Genomic DNA, 23,782 nt, shown 5'->3' on the forward strand with positions numbered 1-23,782 from the left:
TTTCCTATTACTTTGTTAACTCTAAACTGCCAATCAGATTTCTTAGTGTTTTGCCTTTAGTAAAAAATGATTAAAACTCTGGTTGATTTCTTCAAAGGCAAAAGAAAAGACACACCATCACTCAGGGCCAGCCGGCTTTTACAATTTACATTCAAACGATTTGCAGAAACAACCAAAAAAATTCCCAGTGAACAGAAAGTAAACGAATTTATTAGAAAGCTACTTACCAAGATATTGGCATGAAGTTTGATGAGAAAATGCTTTCTCTTAAAACTCAACTTGCGGATTTTAGCCCAGTTAAAAGTATTGATCTTTGTATTTCCCTACAATGAAAAATGTGGCAGATTTCAGAATGTATTAACAAGAGTTGGCTTGTAAGACAGTGCAAACCTGATAGAAAATGCACTTAATGAGAGGGACCGCCCTTGACCCATCTCTTGCACAGATTGATCCTGCTGCACTGGGTAGGAGCTGTGGTCAAAGAAGGCATTTCAGGTGGGATACAAGGATGCTCTGGAATGCAAGCAAGAAGGGGTATGCCTAGGGAAGTTTTCTGGCCAGCACAGGGAGATCACAAGAGGAAAGGATTACTACAATAGCTTTTCTAATCTCGCCCCTTTCCCATGTTTCCCGATTCATCTGCTAAAAACAATGTCCTCTTTCTCCTGACACCCCAATAGCTCAAACACCTTCAATAGCTCCTCACTGCCCACATCACATCATGGCCATATCTTGCTGCCTCATCTATATTGAATATATAACCTTTGTTCCCACTAATTCCAAAACACCCTTTCATCTAACTCTATACCTCTCTCCTGCAGTCTCCTCATTTTCCTTGCCCACAATGCCTTCCACATAGTCAAGCCTTCTTGCCAGCTCTGACAGACCCTTCTCTAGGCTATTCTGTTTAATTACTGCAGCCTACACCCATTTCCAACTCCTCTAAACTCCCTTGGCTTTCCTGGTCGGTCCAACCAGCTTTGCTTTTTTGCTTATTTGTTGTTTGTTCAACAGGTAATCTATTCGCGTGGTCTGAAAATCAGAGGTATACAAAAAGATATATATAGAAAGAAGTCTCACTCCCACCACTGTCACCCCTATTTCTGTCCCCATCTATCCATTCCCTGCAGTTAACTATGTTTATTAGTTTGTCATGTATACTTTTCATGCAACTACAAGTAAATATGATTGACCATTTCCCTTTCTGGCTGGTGATAATACTGAGGGGTGAGATCACCTTGGGAAAGGACACCCAAGTTTGAGCCAAGATAACCACCCCTCACTAAAGCTGAAGGGCTTGAAAGGAAAGAGATTTTACCCGTAACACCAGTACTCCCATGTGAGCAACAGCCAGGTGAATCTGCATCCCTTCACCATCACTGGCGGGGTGAGGCCTGATGCCATACATATCCAGCTTCCTTGCTATGTCCAGTAGCAGAATGTCAGATTCAGCTGGGCTCCTGCCACTGAAAGGGGAAAGAATTTATGAGCCTAATAAATGCCTCAAGAATGACATTTCCACCCTGAGAGCTCCATGAGGATCTCAGCGTTTCATGGAGCCTGAAACTTCTCAGGTTTAAGGGCTTGCTCTTAAGAGTCTGTCCCCAATTTTAGTGTTCTCTACTGGGGGAAGCAGGTGCCAGCTGAAAGTACTTACATGTGCTTCTGATGAAAGTGCATGATCTTGCCCTCTAAACAGTCTTGGTTTGGTAAGTACCGAGTTTGTGCCAGATGCTTCCTATCTGTTTCTTCATGAAAGTCTCCAAGTTCTGCTGCATGACAGGAAAAAGACATTTTTCACATTACCTTTGAGGAACTTAGCAATGGAGCATCCAGCATACCCTTGTCCTCCATCAAACAGCCCCTTCTTTGTAGCCAATGCAGTCCAAAGCCTCCAACCCCACGCTTTATGTATATTTATGTTTCTATAGGGGTGTGTGTGTTTGGGGGGGGCAATTGGCTCTTTTTCAATTTGGAAGCATTTCAGCCTTAGTATAGAAAGTCACAGACCAAATATAGATCTTAGGGGCTCCAAGATCACAGTTGAACATTTTGTTAGATTTTTCTTCTACCATATTGTATATATGATCTCTCTTACTTTCAATCAGCCACTGGTATAGGTGGAACTATGTCCCCACCCTCTGCCAAGTTCATATGTTGGAGTCCTAATTCCAGTAGCAGAGAATGTGACTATATTTGGAGATAGAGCTTTTAGGAGGTGATTGAGGTGAAATGACTCCATCAAGGCAAGCCTTAAACCAATCTGACTGGTATCCTTATAAGAAGAAGAAATTTGGACACACAGAGAGACACCAGGGATGTGAGTACACAGAAAAAAAGACCAAGTGATAACACAACAAGAAGGCAGCCATCTGCTAGCCAAGGAGAAAGGCCTCAGGAAAAAAAAAAAAACAACTGCTGACAGCTTATCTTGGACACGAAGCCTCCAGAATTGTGGAACATACATTTCTGGCATTTAAGCCATTCAGTCTCTGGTATTTTGTTATGGCAGCCCTAGCAAACTAGTACAGCCATCCAACCCCACTCCATCCTGATCATATATTATCAAGAAAGAGGAATATAAATGCCAACGACATTGCAAGCCAATTCATCACTCTGTACATTGGGAGTCTAGTAAATCCCCAGCTATCTGAAATCCCCAATAGATGAATCATCCTGAAAATCATTCTGGCTTTTCCAAATAGCTAGCAGTTTATCTATGATCATAATTTGCTCTTTTCTAGATGCCTCCAGTTTATTTTTATGAAACATCTATTACAGCACTATGTCTACAAAGGCATTTAGGACTATGTGCCCTTAACCTTAATTGCCTCAGATTGTTTTGATTTTTGGATTCTTTTTTCTTCTTTATAATTTGTATGCCTTTTTCCTCTCTGTCAGATTTATATGAATCATTTCCTGGTCACTGACTTCCCCTGAAGTCAAACTTTAGAATACTTGGTTCTAAAGTGAGACTTCTAGTCTAACATAAAATGAGAAAGCAAATATCCAAACCTGTTAGCATTCTATATACTGTAAGAGTAAATAGACTCTCCATGGAATCCTATGGTGCTCTTCTATTGGATAAGATACATGGACAATAGGATACCTATTTTGAGTGCTGGAGGGCTGTTTTTTTTCTCTTCTTTCTTGGTTTTCCATTTGTGTTTTAGACAGGTGGGTGTATATCTGTATTTCAAAAATCACAATATAATAAAAATCTCCATATAATAAACATTTTTTAAAAGACCAAAGAAATGGCTCATTGATTAATTTTTTTTGCCAATACTGATAAATGTACAAATCACATTGAAACCCAATAAGGCTCTGATGGTTTCACTGACTAATTCTATCAAATATTCAAAGAAGAAATAAATACCAATTCTTCACAAACTCTCCCAGAAAATAGAGGAGTAGATACTTAGCAACATATTCTATGAGGTCAATATTACCCTGATACCAAAACGGGACAAAAACATCATAAGAAATGAAGACTACAGGTCAACATTCCTCATGAATACAGAGGCAAAAATTCTGAACAAAACACTAGTAACCTGAATTCAGCAGCATATGAAAAGGATTATACACAATGAGTTGAATTTATCTCAGGATTGCAAGGTCAGTTTGACATATGAAAACCAATGACTATAATACACTATGATAATAGAATAAAGGACAAAAAAAAAATAACCCGCACATTATCTTCTCAAGAGATGGAGAAAAAGCATTGCACAAAGTCTAATACCCACTCACAATCAACAAAACAAAACAAAACACTTAACAAACAAGGAATATACCAAATGGTGAGAAACTAAATGCTTTCACTTAAGATCAGAAATCAGGTAAAGATATCAAGTGCCTGCCACATCTATTCAACATTGTACTGATGGTTCTAGTCAGTGCAGTCAGGCAAGAAGAAGAAACATAAAGAATTTGCACTGAAAAGAAGGTGGTAGAACTGTCTTTACTTGCACTCAACATGATCCTGCATGTAGAAAATCCCAAGGTTGAGCGTGGTGGCTCACGCCTGTAATCCTAGCACTCAGGGAGGCCAAGGCAGGAGGATTGCTTGAGCCCAGGAGTTCGAGACCAGCTTGGGCAACATGGCAAGACCCCATCTCTACCAAAAAATGTAAAAATTAGCTGGGTGTGGTGGCACATGCCTGTGGTCCCAGGTCCCAGCTACTTTGGAGGCTGAGGTGGGAGCATTGCTTGAGCCCAGGAATTCAAGGCTACAGTGAGCCATGGCCGTGCCACTGCACTCCAGGTTGGGTGAATGAGTGAGGCCCTGTCTCAAAAAAAAAAAAAGGAAAAAAAGGAAAGAAAAAAAATCCCAAGGAACCTATGAAAAACTACTAGAACTAATAAATGAGTTCAGCAAGGTAGCATGATAGAAGATCAATATATAAAAAGCAATTGTATTTATATATACTAGCAATGAATAATCTAAAAATGATATTTTAAAAAGTTCCATTTACAATAGCATCAAAAAAGAATAAAATACAGAGGAATGAATTTAATAAAAGAAGTGTAAGGCTTACACACTGAAAAGTACAAAATGCTGCCAAGGGAAATTTTTAAAAGATCTATATAAATGAAGAGATAGTTCATGTTCACAGACAAGAAGATTCAATATTGTTATGGTGGCAATTTTTTCAAAAAATAATCTATAAATTCAATGCAATCCCCATCAAAATCCCAGTAGGCTTTTAAAAATAGAAATTGACAAATGACCTTAAAATTTACATGGAAATGCACAGATCTCAGAATAACCAAACTATTTTGAAAAAGAACAAAGTTGGGCAATGTGTACACTTCCTTATTTCAAAGCTTACCTCAAAGCTACAGTAATTAAGACAGTGTGGTAATGGCATAAGAATAGAAATATAGATCAATGGAACATAAGTGAGAGTACAGAAGTAACTCCTTACATTTATGGTCAATTGGTTTTTGACAAATGTGCCAAGACAATTCAATGAAGAAAAATAATATTCTTTTCAACAAATGTTGCTAGGACAAATGGACATCCACACACAAAAATATGAAGTCGGACCCCTACCTCACACTATACTCCATGCAAGCGTACAAAAAAATAGCTCAAAATGGATCATAGATCTAACTATAAGAGGTAAATTTATAAAAGTTCTAGGAGAAAATCTTTTTGACCTTAAGTTAGGCAAAGAGTTCTTAGATACAACACCGAAAGAATGATCCACTAAAACTACACAGAAAGTGAAATTCCATCAAATTTTAAAACTGTTGTACTTCAAAAGATATCCTTACAAAATGAAAAGACAAGCCACAGATTAGAAGAGAAAATTGCAAATTGTATATCTTATAAAGACTTTTAATCAGAATTTATAAAACCCTCTTAAAACTCAATAATAATATAAAAACTCATTTAAAAATGGGCAAAAGATTTGACTAGGCATTTTACCAAAGAAAACATTGGAATAAGCACATGAAACTGTGCTCAACATCGTTAGTCATTAGGAAAATGCTAATTAAAATTGCAGTGAGATACTTTATACCCATTAGAATGGTCATAATCAAAAAGATATACAATACCAAGTGTTAGTGAAGGTATGAAGAAGTCAAAAACCTTGTACATTTCTAATGTTATTGTAACAATTTGAATTGGCAGTTTCTGAAAATGTTCAATATAAATATATCATAAGACCTAGCAATTACACTCCTTGGAATGTACCCAAAAGAAATGAAGACTTGTATCCACAAGAACACTTGTGTGCCAATGCTTATAGCATTATTCATAATAGCTAAACTGGAAGAAAATCCAAATGTCCACGACCAGGTGAATAGATAAACAAAATGTGGCTGGGCGCAGTGGCTCACTCCTGTAATCCCAAGCACTTTGGGAGGCCAAAGTGGGTGGATCATGAGGTCAGGAGTTCGAGACCAGCCTGACCAACATGGTGAAACCCTGTCTCTACTAAAAATACAAAAATTAGCCGGGCGTGGTGGTGCCTGCCTGTAATCCCAGCTACTCAGGAGGCTGAGGCAGGAGAATTGCTTGAACCCGGGAGGTGGAGGCTGCAGTGAGCATCTCAAAAAAAAAAGTGGTAAATCCATAAATGGAATACTGCTCAGCAAAAGAAAGGAACAAACTGTTGCAGCTCATGTTAGAGCATGCTTTAATTTAAAAATCATTATTTTGAGTGAAAAAAGTCAGATGCAAAATACCCCATATTTTATCATTTCATTTACATGAAATGTTCAGGAAAGGCAAATCTACAGAAACAGAAAGCAAATTAGTGGTTGCTTGGGGCTGAGCGTGGGAACAGGGCGTGACTGCAAGTAGGGATGAGAGATGTCTTTTGGTGTGATGGAAATGTTTTAAAACTGGATTGCGGTAATGCTTGCACAACTCTGTAAATTTGCTAAAAATCATTGAGTTGTGCATTTAAAATGGGTGAATTTTATGATGTGTAAATTATACCTCAATAGAGCTGTTTTTTTAAATAAATCACATGCACAAACACACACACCCCAATTTTCCAGTTTATTAACCACAAATCCCACGTTGACCCTAAGAAAAACAAAAGCACATAAGACTGTGCTTTTTTTTCTCTCCATACAAGACTATAGCAACCTAAGAATACAACTATGACATACGAATGAGTAAATAGCTCCAGTAACAGAAGGTGACAAATGTTATAAGCACCTTCACTGTTACCACGCTGGTCCAAACTACCATGGTCTCTCTCTCCTGTAATATCCTTTTATCTAGTCTCCCCACTTCCACCATTTCCTCTTGAGGTCTGTTTTCACCACAGCAGCCAAAAGGACCCCGTCAAAACCTAATTCAGATTATTTCACTCCTCTGCTTAAACTGCTTCGATGGCTTATCTGCTCATTTAGAGTTATGCTATAGGTCTTTCATATGCTTTTTTAAAAAAGAGATGGCCAGTCGGATATGCACTCCTGGCCTCAAGCGATCCTCCCACCTCAGTCTCCCAAAGTGCTGGGATTACAGGCATGAACCAACACACCTGGCCCTTTAATATGCTTTTAAGACCTTCATATTTATTCTCTTCCTCTCTTACTGAGCTCCAGCCAGCCATAAAAGCCTTTCTGATGTTTCTTGAACACCCCAGGCATGCTCTCACCTCAGGCCCTTTGCACTGCATGCTCTCTTTGCCAGGATTCTCTTTCACATGATTTTGTTGCATAGCTTACCCTCCCACCTCCTTCAAGTCTTTGTTTAGCTGTCATCTTCCCAGTAAGCCTACCCTGTCCACCTTATTTAAATATTTATGCTGGCTGGGCACTGTGGCTTACGCGTGTAATCCCAGCACTTTGGGAAGCCAAAGCGGGAGGATCACTTGAGGCCAGGAGTTCAAGACCAGCCTGGCCAACATGGTGAAACCCTGTCTCTAACTAAAAATACAAAAAAAAAAAAAAAAAAGCCGGGTGTGGTGGCATGTGCCTGTAATCCCAGCTACTCAGGAGGTTGAGGCAGGAGAATCACTTGAACCTGGGAGGTGGAGGTTGCAGTGAGCTGAGATCGCCCCACTGCACTCCAGCCTGGCTGATAGCGTGAGACCCCATCTCAAAAAATAATATTTATGCCGATGTTAACTCTTGTCCATAAAAGAAGAAAAGAATAAAATTTAAAAATATAAATATTCAGTATCTGCCCCCAGAATTCTTCCATCTCCCTCCTACGCTTCATTTTTCTCCATTGCTCTTATCACCTGCTACCATGCATTATATAATTTATTTACTTATTTTGGTCATTGTCTGATTTTCCCCCGCTGCCAAAATGTGAGCTCCACAAGGGCAAGGATTTTTGTCTGTTTATTGCTGTGTTCCCAGTGCCTATAATAGTATCTGGCATGTGGTAGGTACATGATACAATTTTCTTGAATTAACGACCAAGAAGAGTTACTGAGGGAGTTCATAAAAGAGGGACACTTCATTTGAAATGTTCAGCTTGTGTTTGGGAGGGAGTGTCTGGCTAGAATAGAGAGGTGTGTAAGTGTAAACAAAGGAGACGAGAAGGTTGGAATGTGGAGGTTCTTGAACGCTTAAAATATAGCAGGTATCCAACAAATATTAGATGAATGGAAAATTAGACAAATAAATGTGGAGGTTCTTGAACGCTTAAAATATAGCAGGTATCCAACAAATATTAGATGAATGGAAAATTAGACAAATAAATTGCACAACTAGAGCAATCTAGTTGTGTTCTGCATACTACGTTAGAGTTTAGTGAAATAGTCTCACTGCAATCAATTGCGAAGAACTACCTAGTTGGAACTTTAGCTTTTTTCCATGGAAAGAGTTTCTACTGACAGACAATATCCTCTAGAAAAGCTCAAGTGCTCTGTGCTATGCCTGAAACGGCCACTAGGGAATGCTCAAATCCATAAGGCAGAACTGTTAAGAATGAAATTGAGCTCCCCCGTCAGAGACTGCCTGGGAGCCCCAATCCTCTGACTGCTGCCTCAACAGGCAGCTAGTGGAGAAGGATGTCTTCTAGCACTGTTTCCTCTATCTGCTCTACCCTATGCTCCCACCCCAGTGCCAAAGTACAATACTGGACATGACGGTTAGTGTCCTCGGCATTCAAGACCCTTCAAAATGGTGCATTTTCCATCACCTCTTCTAAACAGGCCCTATGTTTGGGCTATACTGGGTCATTTTTCATCCTCTATATACGTCACTTCTTGTCTAACCACCATTTTTGTTTTCATGCTGTTTCCTTTACTGACAAGTACTTATCCAATTCCTATGTGTCCCTTTAAGGCCCAGCACAAAAGCCACCTTCTCCAACAGCCTTCCATGATTACCATTTCTCTTACTGCCCTCTGCCTTTCTGAGATCCTAGGGCTCTCATTGATTGTCCCTGCCAGGAGTCACTTGGTAAACACTTATTCAGACACTGTCCCTATCTAAGCACTGCATTCTGGGGCTCCCGGTGAAATTAGAAATCTGTCATTTCTGGACTATCAGAAAGGTAAGGTACAGAGGTCAAAAATGAACTTAAGATACAAAAAATGAAGTTATGATCCTGCAGGACTGGTAAGAAACAGCCTATTCTTTGGAGGCCTCTCTAGAAGGGAGAAAATGTCCAGCTGGCTTTAGAAGAGATACTATCTCCAGCTGCCTATACCCTGCCCTTGGGGCTGTAGCAGCAGCCTGGCCTGCCAGGCATCACCCCCTCCCTGGAAGGCCCCTGCTGTTCCCCAGACCACCTTCTACCTACCTTCGTTATGCAGCCTAGTCCAGCTACTTGTTGGTTGTTAGGATATGGGGAACGCTAATAGATGCCTGGGGCTTTTTTCCCTTTTAACCTCTCTCCACCTGCTGTACTCTGTGCTTTGTTCTCTGAAATCATGATAAAGAGCAACAGAGAAATCACAACAAACGTGACAATGTGCTACAGAGAGCATGTATCAGAGAATTATCCTGGGGTAAGCAGAGGGAGTGGGGACCTGTCTGGCAAAGCCCATGCCCAAATTAGCCCAAACCAGTTCCTGGACAGCTTTCCCAGAGGCGGTAGGAGGGGAAGGCTGGACTGGGGTAGAAGAAAATCAGCATTTACATTTAATCCACAGAACCAAAGGTATTCTTGTCACTATTTTAAAGACAAGGAAACTCAGGCTCAGGCCATGCTGTTTCTCTCTATCTTATCCAGGCTTTCTCTCCCCTGTAAACCCTAACACAGTGATGGGCATGTGTGGGGAGCTCAGCTCCTGTGCTTGGTTCTCTACCTGGCTGATAGGTCCCAAAGCAGACAGACATTTGCTACTTACATTGTAAGATGTGAGATACCATCAACGCTGTACAGTTGTCACTGCATGGAAGCCTTCCTAGAGCCAAATCCTTCTTTATTTGAAGAGTAAAAAGATACCTGCAAAGAAATTGGGGAGAATCTCTTGAGAAAGAAACAGAAATAAGAAAGAAGCATTTTCCTTCTCCCAGATCCAAGATGATTCAAGAAAGGAATGGTGCCCCCAGTCAGTCAGATGCCTTTTTGGGGGTGGTGAGTAATGCATAGGCTTTGCTTCAGCCCCAAACCAGACCCGGACCACAACTCAGCTGATTGAACACTTTGGCAGGCCTCACAGCCATTAGGAATCACCCTGGCCAAATCCTCCTGCCAAATTGAGAAAGTTGGCCAATCATCCTCTGGTGGTTTCTGCCACGTAGCAAAGCCACATTCCCAGCTAGAAAGAATAGGAGATCAAGCAAGAATAAATGCACTCAGGAGGCCAGTAGCATACTGTTTACAAAACACTATCAAGTACTCACTACCATAACAACTTAGGAGGTTGGTGGAGCAAGAAATGATCACTCCAGTTTACAGTTATAGAAAGAGAGGGGCTAGGTGATTTTGACAAGGTCATATCACCCAAGGATAGTGAATCTGTGGCTAGAACTTAGGTCTGCCCCTGAATTCAGGCTGCCTCCTATCCAAAAGACTGTGTTTTAGAAATGAAGAACTTGGGGCCCTGCTTCTGCCTGTTATTCCCTTGGCCTGGACCATCTTCTCTGTATCACCAGTGCCCAACACATCATTTTACACAGTTAGTGTAATTAATGTTTGCTGAAAAGAACTAAACCAAACTGCCCCTTTTCCCACCAAATGCTCATCAGGGACCTATGAAATGCAGCTTGGTATCTAGGGCTCTGCTAAACAGATAACATTTATCCCACACTTATGAAAAAGTCATTTTCAAAGGAGAATCAAATTTTGTAAAGAAATGTGCATAATGAAGACTACCTACCACTAATTACCTTCTTCCATGGTCCAAGATTGGTTCCAATATTTTATTTATTTATTTATTTATTTATTTATTTATTTATTTATTTATTTATTTATTGAGATAGAGTCTCACTCTGTTACCCAGGCTAGAGTGCAGTGGTGCAGTCTCAGCTCACTGCAACCTCTGCCTCTGGGGTTCAAGCGATCCTCCTGCCTCAGCCTTCCTAGCAGCTGGGACTACAGGCATGCACCACCATGCCCAGCTAATTTTTGTATTTTTAGTAGATACGAGGTTTCACCATGTTGGCCAGGCTGGTCTTCAACTCCTGACCTCAGTTGATTGCCCCACCTTGGCCTCTCAAAGTGCTAGGATTACAGGTGTGAGCTACTGTGTCTGGCCCCAATATTTTGTTTTATAAATTAAAACACTGAGTACTATGAGCATTTCCCTATAAAAATGTGATTTTCTAAATAAAGGTCTATGTGTACTTTTTTTAAAACCAATTAAGCCTTGAAGGCAATGTGGTGAATCAAAATTAATCGCAAGTGATATGTGAAAATCTAGATTGAAAAAGCAAGTAAATTAGCAGGTGATTATTCAGTTTACAAAAGCATTCATCATTATAATCTTTCAAATTATGAGCTCTCCTTATACATTAGAAACGATTCAATTAGAAAAATTACATTTGCACACCACTCTTAGAAACCCATGTATTAGCCTAGACAAGGCATCCTTGTAGACTCAACTAAAGTTAAGTATTATTTAAATGGACCAATGGGAAACAAATAAATGAAGCCTAACCTTTGTCATTGCCTGTTTTCAAATATAGTTGTCAATGAGAATAATCAGCTTTAGTTGCTAAAGGAAAGGTGAATTTCGTTTTGCTCCTAGCATGAAAGAAAGGGAACTTCTTGTCATTTGACACGTTCCTTGCTGTTAAGAAGGCAGCTGCCTGCTACAAATACCAAATCCTTGCTCTGAACAGCTGATGAATCATTTATCATCACATTGATTTTCCCATTCTTTTTTTTTTGGAGGTGGGGGGAGTTTATCTCCATCAAAATTGGTCACAATTTAAAACTCAACTGAAATGGGTTAGCAAACGCAAATACATATATATACCAAGGTATCAAGTTATTTGGGAAAGTGGCCTGTAGCTCACAAATGTGGAGAGAGAATTAGGAGAGAGAAAGACAGAAAGAGAGGCTTGTAAAAAGCGACTTTTGCAAAGGCCACTCAGAAAAGTCTTTATAAAAGGGGCAAAGATTGAACTGGCCATGAACTCTTTTGGGGGGAAGACATCAGGGAGAATAACTGGCAACCTTCTGTGATCTTGGACAGTCATTTTAGCTCCCATGACCTATCTCTTCCTCTGTAAACTAAGAGGGCTCGATTAGATTATCTCTCAGACCTCTTTCACGTATAGGAGTCTAAATCTAAGCCAGGTGTGGTGGCTCATGCCTGTAATCCCAGCACTTTGGGAGGCCAAGGCGGAGAATCATTTGAGCTCAGGAGCTCAAGACCAGTCTGGGCAACATAGCAAAGCCCCATCTCTAAAAAAAAAAAAAAAACCTTAAAAATTAGCCGGGCGTGGCGGCAAGTTCCTGTAGTCCTTGGCGGGAAGCAGGGCACAAGGACTGAGGTGGGAGGGTTGCTTGAGCCAGGGAGGTTGCCACTGCACTTCAGCCTATCCAACCTGAGGCAGAGCAAGACCCTGTCTCAAAAAAAAAAAAAAAAAAAAGTGTAAGTCTAGAAAGTAGAGTAAGGTTTTGAGGAATGTTTTGTTGACAACATATTTTTGCAGAAATAGGTTTACTTTGTAATTCTGAAGGACATTTTTTCATAAGTATTTATCATCATTACAGATTATTTTGTCTTCTGTGAGATACATTCACAACCCCCACATTTTCAATTTCCATGGAAATCGGCTGGTATTATACCCGTGCTGTTAAGCTGCCCTCTCTGACTGAAACACAGATTCATGAAGGAGAGCACATTCATTGTTGTAGTAGTTAATGGCATAACCCCCAAGTGGATACCCAGGCTTGAACTTCTAGAACACACCTCTTTCTTCCTGTAGTCTCCACCCTTTGGATGATGAACACCTGGGGAACCAGCTAGGCCCATCCTCTCTCCAGATCCTCACCATCTCCCAGACAGTGACTTAAAGCCAAGTTTTGTGAGAATGGCCAGAAGCACTTGCCCCCAATAAATGGAGAATAATGATTCTTAAGTAACATCATGCAGAGACACACAGGTAATCACTATACCTTGTAAGTTCTTCCCGCAGATGTCCAGGGTCCACTGGGAAAAATTTCACCATAAATTTGAAAACAATCTCCTTAGGATCTTAAAACACAATATCTCCATAAGTTTTATTTAAATGTCCATCACAACAGTTATAGGTACACACACACACACACACACACACACCCACACACACACCGCTCTCCTCTTCCGTCCCCTCCCCATCACTCCCTCCTACAGACTTCTGTGTTTCCATTTATCACATGTATAAAGTGTCACAATTTCTGGATTGTGTCTCTATGTATATAGCGATTGGGAAAGTTCTCCCACCCCTCTTTCTACCCTCTCTGCCTTCGAGTTTATTTGTATAAATGTGCCCCTTTGAGGCCTACTGTGTCCTCTCCTAAGTATCCCATTCAGAAAAATACAGCACTTGCTAGTTGGGATTCTGCATTCCTGACTGAGAGAAGGGCTCAACTTCAGCTGAGGCAGGTGTACATTACCAAGCCTAAGTATCTCATAAAGAGAATTCAAAGCATGATGGACTGATACCTCTATCTTATACATTAAGAAAACACATATACTTATCTTCACACCTGCTTGCATTTGAAAATTAACTTTTACACAAAACATAAATGCACACATGCAGCATTAACACCATTGATTCAGTAAATATTTGTTGGTGCCCATTATCTGCAAAGCAGGTATTGGGAGTAAAAAGACAACTAAGAGCTCACTGTCTAGTAGAAGAGACAGACATCTAGACAGTTATAACACTCTAAAATGCTATAAGCACTGAGTACTGGGGAAGCACAGAAGGGAGGAAAGAGTTTGGAGGAGGTCAAGGATGTCCTACCAGAGGACTTGAGACCTGAGTAGAGTGGCCAGATTTAGTGAATAAGAAGCACAGGATTCCCAGTTCAATTTGAATTTCAGATAAACAACAATTGCATGAGATGTGCTTATATAAGAAAATTATTCTTTGTTTATCTAAAATTACAATTTAATAGGGCATTCTGTATTTTATCTGCTAAGCCTCCATCTGAGATTAGTTTTGTCAAAGTCAGCAGAGGTAGGAATACGAGGTAGCTAGTAGCAAGGACAAGGCTAGGAAGGTAGCCAGAGTTCAATGCTTTGTGTACCATCCTAAGGAATTGGGACTTTATTCCTCGAAGGGTAGGTAGTAGGGAGCCAGGAAAGCATTTTAAGAAGAAGAGTGATGTGATCAGGTTGGTGTTTTCAGTAGATTTCTTTGGGAGTAATGTAGATGATGGATGAGGGGAATCAATTTGGAAGCTGTTGGAATAATGTGACAGGTGATCCTTATGCAGTGGGAACAGACAGAACTTTGGGAAGCACTAACATGTAAAGAGCAGGTAGAGGAAGAGGAACAGTGCAAAGTCCTGATAGAAATCCGCCTGCCTCAGAAACATCTGTGGAATTTTGTTTTCAATAGATTTCTTTGGGAGTAATGTAGATGATGGATGAGGGGAATCAATTTGGAAGCTGTTGGAATAATGTGACAGGTGATCCTTATGCAGTGGGAACAGACAGAACTTTGGGAAGCACTAACATGTAAAGAGCAGGTAGAGGAAGAGGAACCAGTAAAAGAGACATTAAAACAGTGCAAAGTCCTGATACAACTCCGCCTGCCTCAGAAACATCTGTGGAATTTTGTAAACATGCAGGTTATTGGCAACTCAGGAATAAGGCCCAGGAATCGGCATTTAACAAGAAACTCAGGCGATCCTAATGCACACTGAAATTTGAGAACCATCACACTAGATTGTAAAATATAGGGAGAAAATATTTCATACATATTAGGCACTTAAATATGAACTAAAGCGAGTGAATAATGCTTGTGACAGGATATAACTAAAGAATCTTCAGGCAGACAGTGAATGGCATTGCAGATTGACATCAAGGATGCTCGAAGATTTGCAGTGCCAGAAAATGAGATATATTCCTCAAACCAATCCAGAGTACTGTAATTACCAGAGTTCTTCAGATTTACTCAAAGATCCAGCAGCATGATTTCTTTCATCTCAGGCAAAATTAAAACAATTTTCTAAATTGCTGAATTTACTGGATGTATGAAGGGTTGAAATAATATCTCAAAGCCCTTTTCTCCCCTTATATTAAAATGAGAAATTGTGTGAGGTTGTTGAAACCTTTCTCAAGCTCTAACTGTGAACTCTCTTCCTTAAATGATTTTCCATACTTACTTTTTACCTGCTTTGTTATGGGCTTCAAAAGCTCCAGCCAAACCTGTAATAACATTAAGGAAAAAATTGGTAGAGCATGGCATTGAGCAGAGCTTTTTTTTTTTCGGTAATAGATAAAGATTAACATGAAATAAATGAGTACCAGGACTATTTAGACTTCTAAAGGTAGAAACAAACAGCAATGTCAAATAGGTGGCATACTACGTTTAATCTGCCCCCTTATATTTTCCCGATGACAGTGAACATTGTTGATCTATAAACTCTTTCTTGTTGACATTTGAATCACTGCTCCACTGCCTTAGTAGGATGACAGAGGTGTCACATACATGGCTCATTAGTTGCTACAAAGACTAATGAAGGCATTTGGCTCCACATTTGAACCCTCCAGTCCCCAAATGCCAGTCTAATAGACATAATGAGCCTTTCTGGGAAGATGCCAGATCACAGATATGCCAAGGCAGGACACAACAGAAGAATATCTGAACGTTAGGGTCTGAGAAAGGAGAAAGGAGATTCCTCTGAATATTCACTGGTGAGGTTAAAAGTCTTAATTCTGCAGGTTGAGGTCCAGGCTCTGGAAAGGCAAAATTGATAAAGCATGCATAGCTGCTCACAGAGTGACAAAACAGGAATGTGGGGTAAAAGAGTTTGTGTTTGGCAAATTGAGGTGACTTGTTGTTTTGAAACAGAGTCTCACTCTGTTGCTCAGGCTGGGATGCGGTGGTGCGATGCTGGCTCACAGCAACCTCTGCCTCCCAGGTTCAAGCAATTCTCCTGCCTCAGCCTCCCAAGTAGCTGGGATTACAGGCACACACCACCACACCCAGCTAATTTTTGTATTTTTAGTAAAGATGAGGTTTCACTATGTTGGCCAGGCTGGTCTTGAACTCCTGACCTCAGGTGATCCACCTGCCTTGGCTTCCCAAAGTGTTGGGATTACAGGCATGAGCCACCGCACCTGGCCAAGGTGACTGTTAATAAACAAAGAGGGAGGACAAAAACTAGTTATTAAATCTAATCATGTTGCAAGGGTGCACATAGTTTTTCATTTTTCAATCAGGGAATTGAACCCTACATACCTAGCTGCAAACTGCATTTAGAAGCAATGCTAGACACAAAGAACCCTATAATGAAACCAACTTACATTATTTCCAGAATGGCTGCAGAATTCTAATCCAAAATATTCCTTTTCAGCAAGATTTAGATGGCTGCAACTCAGGTTAAACAATGCCTTCCCGGATGACTTTTGCTAAACAAAACAAAAAGATGATAGCACAATTTGCATTCCTAACCTGATACTGCAGCACGGAATAAAGGGTAGAAGCCACAAGACTCTCTGCAAGCCCTGTTTCCTTTAAGCACTGTTTAGAGGACCTGCATCCTTTTCAAAGATGTTGACCTTTACAGATAGATCCACTTATCTGTCTCTGTGTTGTTTTAGCGACATCCCTAAGAAAGCCTTATAACAAACCACCTTGGAAAAAGAAATACTTGCACTTAACTATGGCTACATCTGCAAATTTACCCTTTCAATGGAATTCTTGAATCAGTTCATCCCATGGGCAATTTGAATGATTTCTTCCAAATTGACAGATAGTTTAGTCAAGATGTAAATCCAACCCTATTACTCCCCTGCTTGAAATCCTTCAGTGGCACCCCCTCAGGATAAAGCCTGTACTCCTCAGCACAGGAGACCCAGTTCTCTCTCCCTCCTGTGGCCATGCCTGCGCCTCCAGCCTCTTGCCCACCTCCTCCTGATACTTTCCTCTCTAATAACGGCAGCCTGCTCTTAGTTCCCCATACCTGTCTAGTCATTGCGTGCCTGCATGCCTCTGCTCATGTCATCCTTCTCCACCTATCGCTCTTTCCACATTTCTTTGGTTTGGCTTACTCCTACTCAGCTCAGATGTCATCTCCCCAGAGAAGGTTTCTTCAATCCCTATCAGCCGCAGGCTGAGCCAAGGGCAAGCTCCCCTATGCCTCCAAACACCCTCACTTACCTCAAGCATAGCACTTCTTGCCCTGGATGTCTATCTTCCCCATTAGACTGAATTCCTCCATAGCAGGGACTTTGCTTTATTTTTCTTGTTACTCACCAGTTCTAATTCAGAGCCTGGCACATAGTACTGGGCTCCTGAATGTTTGTTGATCCAACATGAAATTGACCATATGATTATATGAGCCCCTTGAGTAGATTTCATTTTGTAGCTTTGCCCACCAAATCTGCATACAGCATACTCTGTTCACATAAGGCCACAAATTTTTTTCTTCATAAAGCCCACACACACTGTGAGCACAAAACAGTCCCTTTCTTATGCTTCTCTGAGAACAGGAGCTTTGAAGAGCTCTCTGTGAAAAATTTCTTTGAGCTGAGTATGGCTGGGACTGATTTTCAGCCTGCCTCCACTATTGCTGAACCCAGGGATTGCTGTTGCAGGGAGGACCGTGATGGGAAAATTGAGCCCTGGCTGATAGGCACAAAGACTGGCTGCTGAAAACCCCTAGTTAAAGGCGAGTCACGCGGTGCCTACAGTGCTGCAAAGGAAGCCAGGCGCGGGGAAATGTAGTTGGAAATCACCGACCCATAGAATTAACAGCAACCTTGAGAGGTCAGAGAGTCCATCCACCACCAATTCCCCCCTCCCTCAAGGCAGCACCACACTGAACAGAGCCCACATCTGGGATTTAATAGTTTTCAGGAAGGCGGCCTACCTCACCCGCTTCCCCCACCGTCCAAAAATACACCCCTCTCCCCATGGACTTCTCTCTACTTGGTTTTACTGCCCAGAGCTCCACCGACTCAAGATTCATTTGGGTTAACCCCAGTCCGATTTTTAAATGAAAATAGGCTGCAAAGGGTGAAACTTATTTCATCCCTTGCACCTGGAGACAGAGCTGCTCTACCAAGGGAAAGGGGGTTTGATTTGATGTGGGAGATCACAATGGAGCTGTAGTCCAAGAAAAGGGGGTCAGTTCCCCTGGGGGGGGTGGCACCAAGGGAATGGGGTTGCCAGGGAGGGCCTGTTTATAGGGGAGAGGGGTACATTTTTGCCTGTGTGGCAACCTTGCCTAGGGCAAGTGCTGACACAGACCATTGCAGACACATGAAATTGCTCCTATTTTTAAAATCCTTCATAGACAAGGAGCTGCCATGGGATTTTTATTATGAAAAAAAAAAAGAATTTCTAAAGAGAGAGAGATGACAGCAATACTTTTTCCAACACCAAAGAAACACTTCAGTCATGAGGACCAAATTCCATCATACACTCCAGTTTTTTTTTGCAAGCAATTTAAGAAGCTCAAGATTTTCCTTTCTCCTTTTCATATTTTATTCTTATTTTCCATCAGGGCACTTAATCCTCCCTATCAACACTGCCATGTTCCATGTGTTTGTATATTTACATGTTTCTGCAATTACAAAGCATATGTAGCCATTCTTTTAAGGTTTCTAATTAAGGCCTTCGTTTTGCTTCCTTCCGTAAGATCCCATACTATGTTTATAAGAATAATTCCCTGATTCTTCCATCCCTGTAAGTGTTGCCAACTGGCTCTAAAAGCCTTTGGCATTTATGCTTTTGGAGGTCAGACACTCATGTGGCTCAAGCTTTCCACCCCATCTCCGCGAGAGGCATTTTCCTTCAGTCCTCCATAGTGTACGTTGAAATTGGCCAGCTTTGTGGAATGTGTTATGTAATAGGTAAGGTCTTGGTTCTGTCTCAACATGCAGCCTTTAATTTTTTCTACCATTATGATCGAATTTCTCAATTTTGGTGTTATGTTTCTCTTTCTTGTAATACTGCCTTATATACAAGCTTCCTGTTTTCTCTTTCTCTTTTCTGTTTTCTCTGGACTTCTGATTCTCTGTACAATTGCTTGGTCTTTTTTAAGCTGGTACTTTTCAATATCCTAATCAAGCTCCTTAGCAGATCTAAATTCTTTACCACCCGTCAGTCCTCCCACTGAAGGAATTGGAACTCCAATCCTGAATCCTGTCTCATCCTGATATCTGCCTTTAAATGTCTATCTATCTATCTATCTATCTATCTATCTATCTATCTATCTATCTCTATAATTTAAACAAATCATTCATAACTTGGATTTATAATCTTTAATTTATTGGGTCATAACAATTGAACACTGATTCCTGGGGGCTTCAAACTCATCTTCTCATGGAAACAATAATATTCAAAGTGGCTAGCTCTAAAAACAAATCTACCAAATTTTCTGTGCACCAACAATTGTTATATACCAATTTGTTAAAATAAATCGGGATTGTAATCTTGCTCTCTTCACTTACTAGCTGGACGAATTGGGGCAAATCATTTAGCTCACAGATTGATCTACCTCTTCTAGATATCTGAAGATAAAAACCACGTGTTTGAATTCTTGGAATTAAGTACAGTGCCTGGCAAAGTGGACATTCAATAAATGTTTACTGAGTAAGTGGATAAATGGACCCAGACATTTAACTTGATTCATGTACATTAGTATAATAGTCCTCTTAAGAGAGAGACAAACTAGTCATTATGTGACCTTGGGCAATTACTGAACTTTTCTGAGCCTCAGTTTACTAATCTGTAAAATAAAGATAATAGTGATATTATCTCATAGGGTTGTTGTGAGGGTTAAATAAAATAATTCACATCAAGGTCTTAGTACAGTGCCTGGCACATCATATGCACATGCACATATGCATATGCACTTCAGCAATGCACATGTATAGATATATGCATAGTAATAAATCTGGAAGAATATACACCAAATTGGTAACAACAATATTCCTGGAGAGGAGATAAAATAAGGGGGACTTTAACTTTTTACTCTGTACGTGTCTGAATTTTTTTTTTAATAAGCAAGGATGGTAGAAACTTTCTTAACCAACTTCCACTTAATAATGTGCATATAATGCATTCTATTCCCTCTTTAAAACATTGGCAGATGCGGGCTGGGCGCTGTGGCTTATGCCTGTAATCCTAGCACTTTGGGAGGCCGAGGTGGTGGGATCACGAGGTCAGGAGATCGAGACCATCCTGGCTAACACAGTGAAACCCCATCTCTACTAAAAAATACAAAAAATTAGCTGTGCGTGGTGGCGGGTGCCTGTAGTCCCAGCTACTCGGGAGGCTGAGGCAGGAGAATGGTGTGAACCCGGGAGGCGGAGCTTGCAGTGAGCTGAAATCGTGCCACTGCACTCCAGCCTGGGCGACAGAGCAAGACTCCGTCTCAAAAAACCAAAAAAACAAAAAACAAACAAACAAACAAAAAATTGGCAGATGCCCACATTGTGATGAAAACTCATGGCTAGTAGGTGACTCAAATACAATTGTACACTTTGACAGTGACCAATTGAGTCCCATGCTTACTAATGATTATGTTCTTGAAAATATTTTTGACAAGCTCTACTTATTATTATAATTACACCATTTAATTAAATGGTATGTATATCAAAAATTATTATGAGCACTAATGGCAAGAGTTGTTTCTATGAAACTTAAATTGATATTTTTGTAAAGACTCAATAAGGGGGAGTCCCCAAAAATGTGCTGTCAAATTAGTTTTGGATATGACAGCAATAAAAGATTGACGGAGGAAAGACATCAAAATCTGGAAAGATTCTGTACTCACTGCTTTGAAATCATTGTATTCTTGTTCCACATTAAATAAACCAAGACTGGAAATCATCGATGACAGATTATGGATGTGGTTTATGGAAGAAAGACAAAAGGGAATACAATCAGAAGTCCATACTAAAGAAAAGGTCTTGACCCTATATCAAACAGTTAGGATATGAATAAAATGTATACATTTTATGTTAAAATAAAAAATTTGAGATGTCTGTATATATATGTATATGATTTGTTATTAGTGTTTGCTTTAGCAAATTTTGTCAATTAACTGATCAACAACCACCTTCAACAACATTTGAAATAAGACATTCTCAGTATCATTAAAATGGCCATACTACCCAAAGCAATTTACAGATTCAATGCAATTCCCATCAAACTACCAATGACATTCTTCACAGAACTAGAAAAAAAATTTTTTTAAATTCACGTTGAACAAAAAAAGAGCCCAAATAGCCAAGGAAATCCTAAGCAAAAAGAACAAAGCTGGAGGCATCACGTTACCTGACTTCAAACTATACTACAGGGCTACAGTAACCAAAACAGCAGGGTACTGGTACAAAAGCAGGCACATAGGCCAATGGAGCAGAATAGAGAGTCCAGAAATAAGGCTGCACAACTACAGCCATCAAATCGTCGACAAAGCTGACAAAAACTAGCAATGGGGAAAAGACTCCATATTCAATAAATGGTGCCTGAATAACTGGCTAGCTATATGCAGAAGATTGAAGCTGGACCCCTTCCTTACATAATATACAAGAATTAACTCAAGATGGATTAAAGACTTAAATGTAAAACCCAGAACTATAAAAACCCTGGAAGACAACCTAGATAACACCATCCTGGACATAGGAATGGGCAAAGATTTCATGACAAAGACACCAAAAACAATCGCAACAAAAGCAAAAATTGACAAGTGAGATCTAATTAAACTTAAGAGCTTCTGCACAACAGAAGAAACTATCAACAGAGTAAATATACAACCTACAGAATGGGAGATAATATTTGCAAGCTATGCATCTGACAAAAGTCTAGTATCCAGAATCTATAAGAAACTTACACAAATTTACAAGAGAAAAACAAACAACCCCATTAAAAAGTAGGCAAAGAATATGAACAGACATTTTTCAAAAGAAGACATACATGCAGCCAACAAGCATATTAAAAAACTCAGTATCACTGATCATTAGAGAAATGCAAATCAAAACCACAATAAGATACCATTTCACGCAATTCAAATGGTATTAAAAATAATGACTATCATTAAAAAGTCAAAAAATAATAGATGCTGGCAAGGTTGTGGAGAAAAGGAAACACTTATACACTGTTGGTGGGAGTGTAAATTAGTTCAACCATTGTGGAAAGCAGTATGGCAATTCCTCAACAAGCTAAAAGCAGAGCTACCATTGGACCCAGCAATCCCATTATTGTATATACTCAGAGGAATATAAATTATTCTACCATAAAGACATATGCACACAAATGTTCACTGCAGGATTATTCACAATAGCAAAGACATGGAATCAACCTAAATGCCCATCAATGACAGATTGGATAAAGAAAATGTGGTACATATAGACCATGAAATACTGTGCAGCCATAAAAAAGAACAGGATCATGTCTTCTGGAGGAACATGGATGGAGCCGGAGGCCATTATCCTTAGCGAGCTAAAGCGGGAACAAAAAATCAAATAATGCAAGTTCTCAGTTATAAGTGGGAGCTAAATGATGAGAAATTATGAACACAAAGAAGGAAACAACAGACACTGAGGTCTACTTGAGGGTGGAGTGTGGCAGGAGGGAGGGGAGCAGAAAAGATCACTATTGGGTACTGGGCTTAATAGCTGGGTGATGAAATAATCTGTACAAGAAAATCCCTTGACACAAATTTACCTATGTAACAAACCTTCACATGTACACCCAAACCTAAAATTAAAAGATTTTTAAAAAGAGAGAAATTTTAATGTATCTTACATATTAATTGTGTGCTTTAAAAAAATACAGACTATACAATTAAGGTTTCAGGAAAAGATAGATTGGAAGGAAATATAGCATATCATTAATAGTAGCATAATGGGTTATTTTTACTTTTTGCTTATACTTGTTATATTTTCCAGAGAAATACAATAGATATTCTAAATGTTAAAAGCATAGTGTCATACAAAATGTCTTATAGATAGAGGCTTCCCCTGTTTCCAATGCTGACTCTGGCATTCAAAATATTTCTTATGACCCCTTCAGGAAATTATTCTCAAAGTCACAGATGATAATCATTCATTCTCCTGACTTTATGGTTATGCCTCATTTTTTATCCCCAAATATGACTGTCTTAGCCAGTTCAGGCTTCCATAACAAAATACCATAGAGTGGGTGGCTCAAACAATAGAAATTTATTTTCTCACATTTCTAGAGGCTGGAGACCTGGGATGAGGGTGCCAGTATGGTTGGACTGTGGTAAAGGCTCTCTTCTTGGTTTGTAAATGGCTGCCTTTTCACTATATTTCTACATGGTGGAGAGAGAGAGAGAGAGAGAGAGAGAGAGGGAGGGAGAATCTTCCTCTTCTTATAAAGCTAACAATCTTATCAGATAAGGACCCCATATTTATATTATTTAACCTTAATTACATCCTAAAAGTCCTATCTAAATAAAGTCACACTGAGGGTTAGCGCTTCAACATATAAATTTTGGGAGAATACAAGTCAGTCTATAGCAATGACCCAGCTTGATGGTCCACTTTTGTTACCATATTTGCTTTTTATGACTTTTGGCTCTTCCCAAACACTAAATTCCCTCTCAAATAATGAAGATTTGTGAGGCATTTTGGAAAGAATGTGCCCAGCTACAGAGGGCCAAAGAGGAGTTCCAAGAATGTGCTAAGCCCTTGCAATAAATATGAGGTGGCAGCACAGCATGGTGGCTAAGAATGTTTGCTTTGGAGCCAGACACACCTGG

At 40.0% G+C, this 23,782-nt stretch overlaps 1 protein-coding gene across 5 annotated transcripts in view, besides 1 other annotated feature; it reads right to left on the reverse strand.

Annotated features, from left to right (window-relative positions):
- The window catches only part of FRMD7 (FERM domain containing 7), a 51,031-nt gene that overhangs the window by 7,273 nt on the left and 19,976 nt on the right, over nucleotides 1–23,782 (reverse strand). Inside the window, exons 1-8 of one of the 5 annotated variants that reach the window (XM_017029947.3) lie at nucleotides 17,206–17,619; nucleotides 16,350–16,454; nucleotides 15,206–15,248; nucleotides 13,004–13,082; nucleotides 9,780–9,877; nucleotides 1,658–1,772; nucleotides 1,319–1,466; nucleotides 228–323 (exon numbers count right to left, since the gene is read on the reverse strand). In XM_017029947.3, coding sequence (XP_016885436.1) covers nucleotides 228–323; nucleotides 1,319–1,466; nucleotides 1,658–1,772; nucleotides 9,780–9,877; nucleotides 13,004–13,082; nucleotides 15,206–15,248; nucleotides 16,350–16,454; nucleotides 17,206–17,214 — 693 coding nt within the window. In that variant the 5' untranslated portion in view covers nucleotides 17,215–17,619. Of the gene's footprint in view, nucleotides 1–227; nucleotides 324–1,318; nucleotides 1,467–1,657; nucleotides 1,773–9,779; nucleotides 10,272–13,003; nucleotides 13,083–15,205; nucleotides 15,249–16,349; nucleotides 16,455–17,205; nucleotides 17,620–23,782 lie in introns of those variants that run through there. The other 4 variants (NM_001306193.2, NM_194277.3, XM_017029948.3 and 1 more) reach the window with 4 other exon arrangements.
- Nucleotides 8,330–8,389: a silencer, noted in NCBI's record as "silent region_21004". NCBI's record gives its function as "represses an Ori minimal core promoter by ATAC-STARR-seq in GM12878 lymphoblastoid cells {active_cell/tissue: GM12878}" and the evidence as "EXISTENCE:reporter gene assay evidence [ECO:0000049][PMID:35858748]".

This window comes from Homo sapiens, chromosome X (assembly GCF_000001405.40).
Source record: "Homo sapiens chromosome X, GRCh38.p14 Primary Assembly".
NCBI lineage: Eukaryota > Metazoa > Chordata > Mammalia > Primates > Hominidae > Homo > Homo sapiens.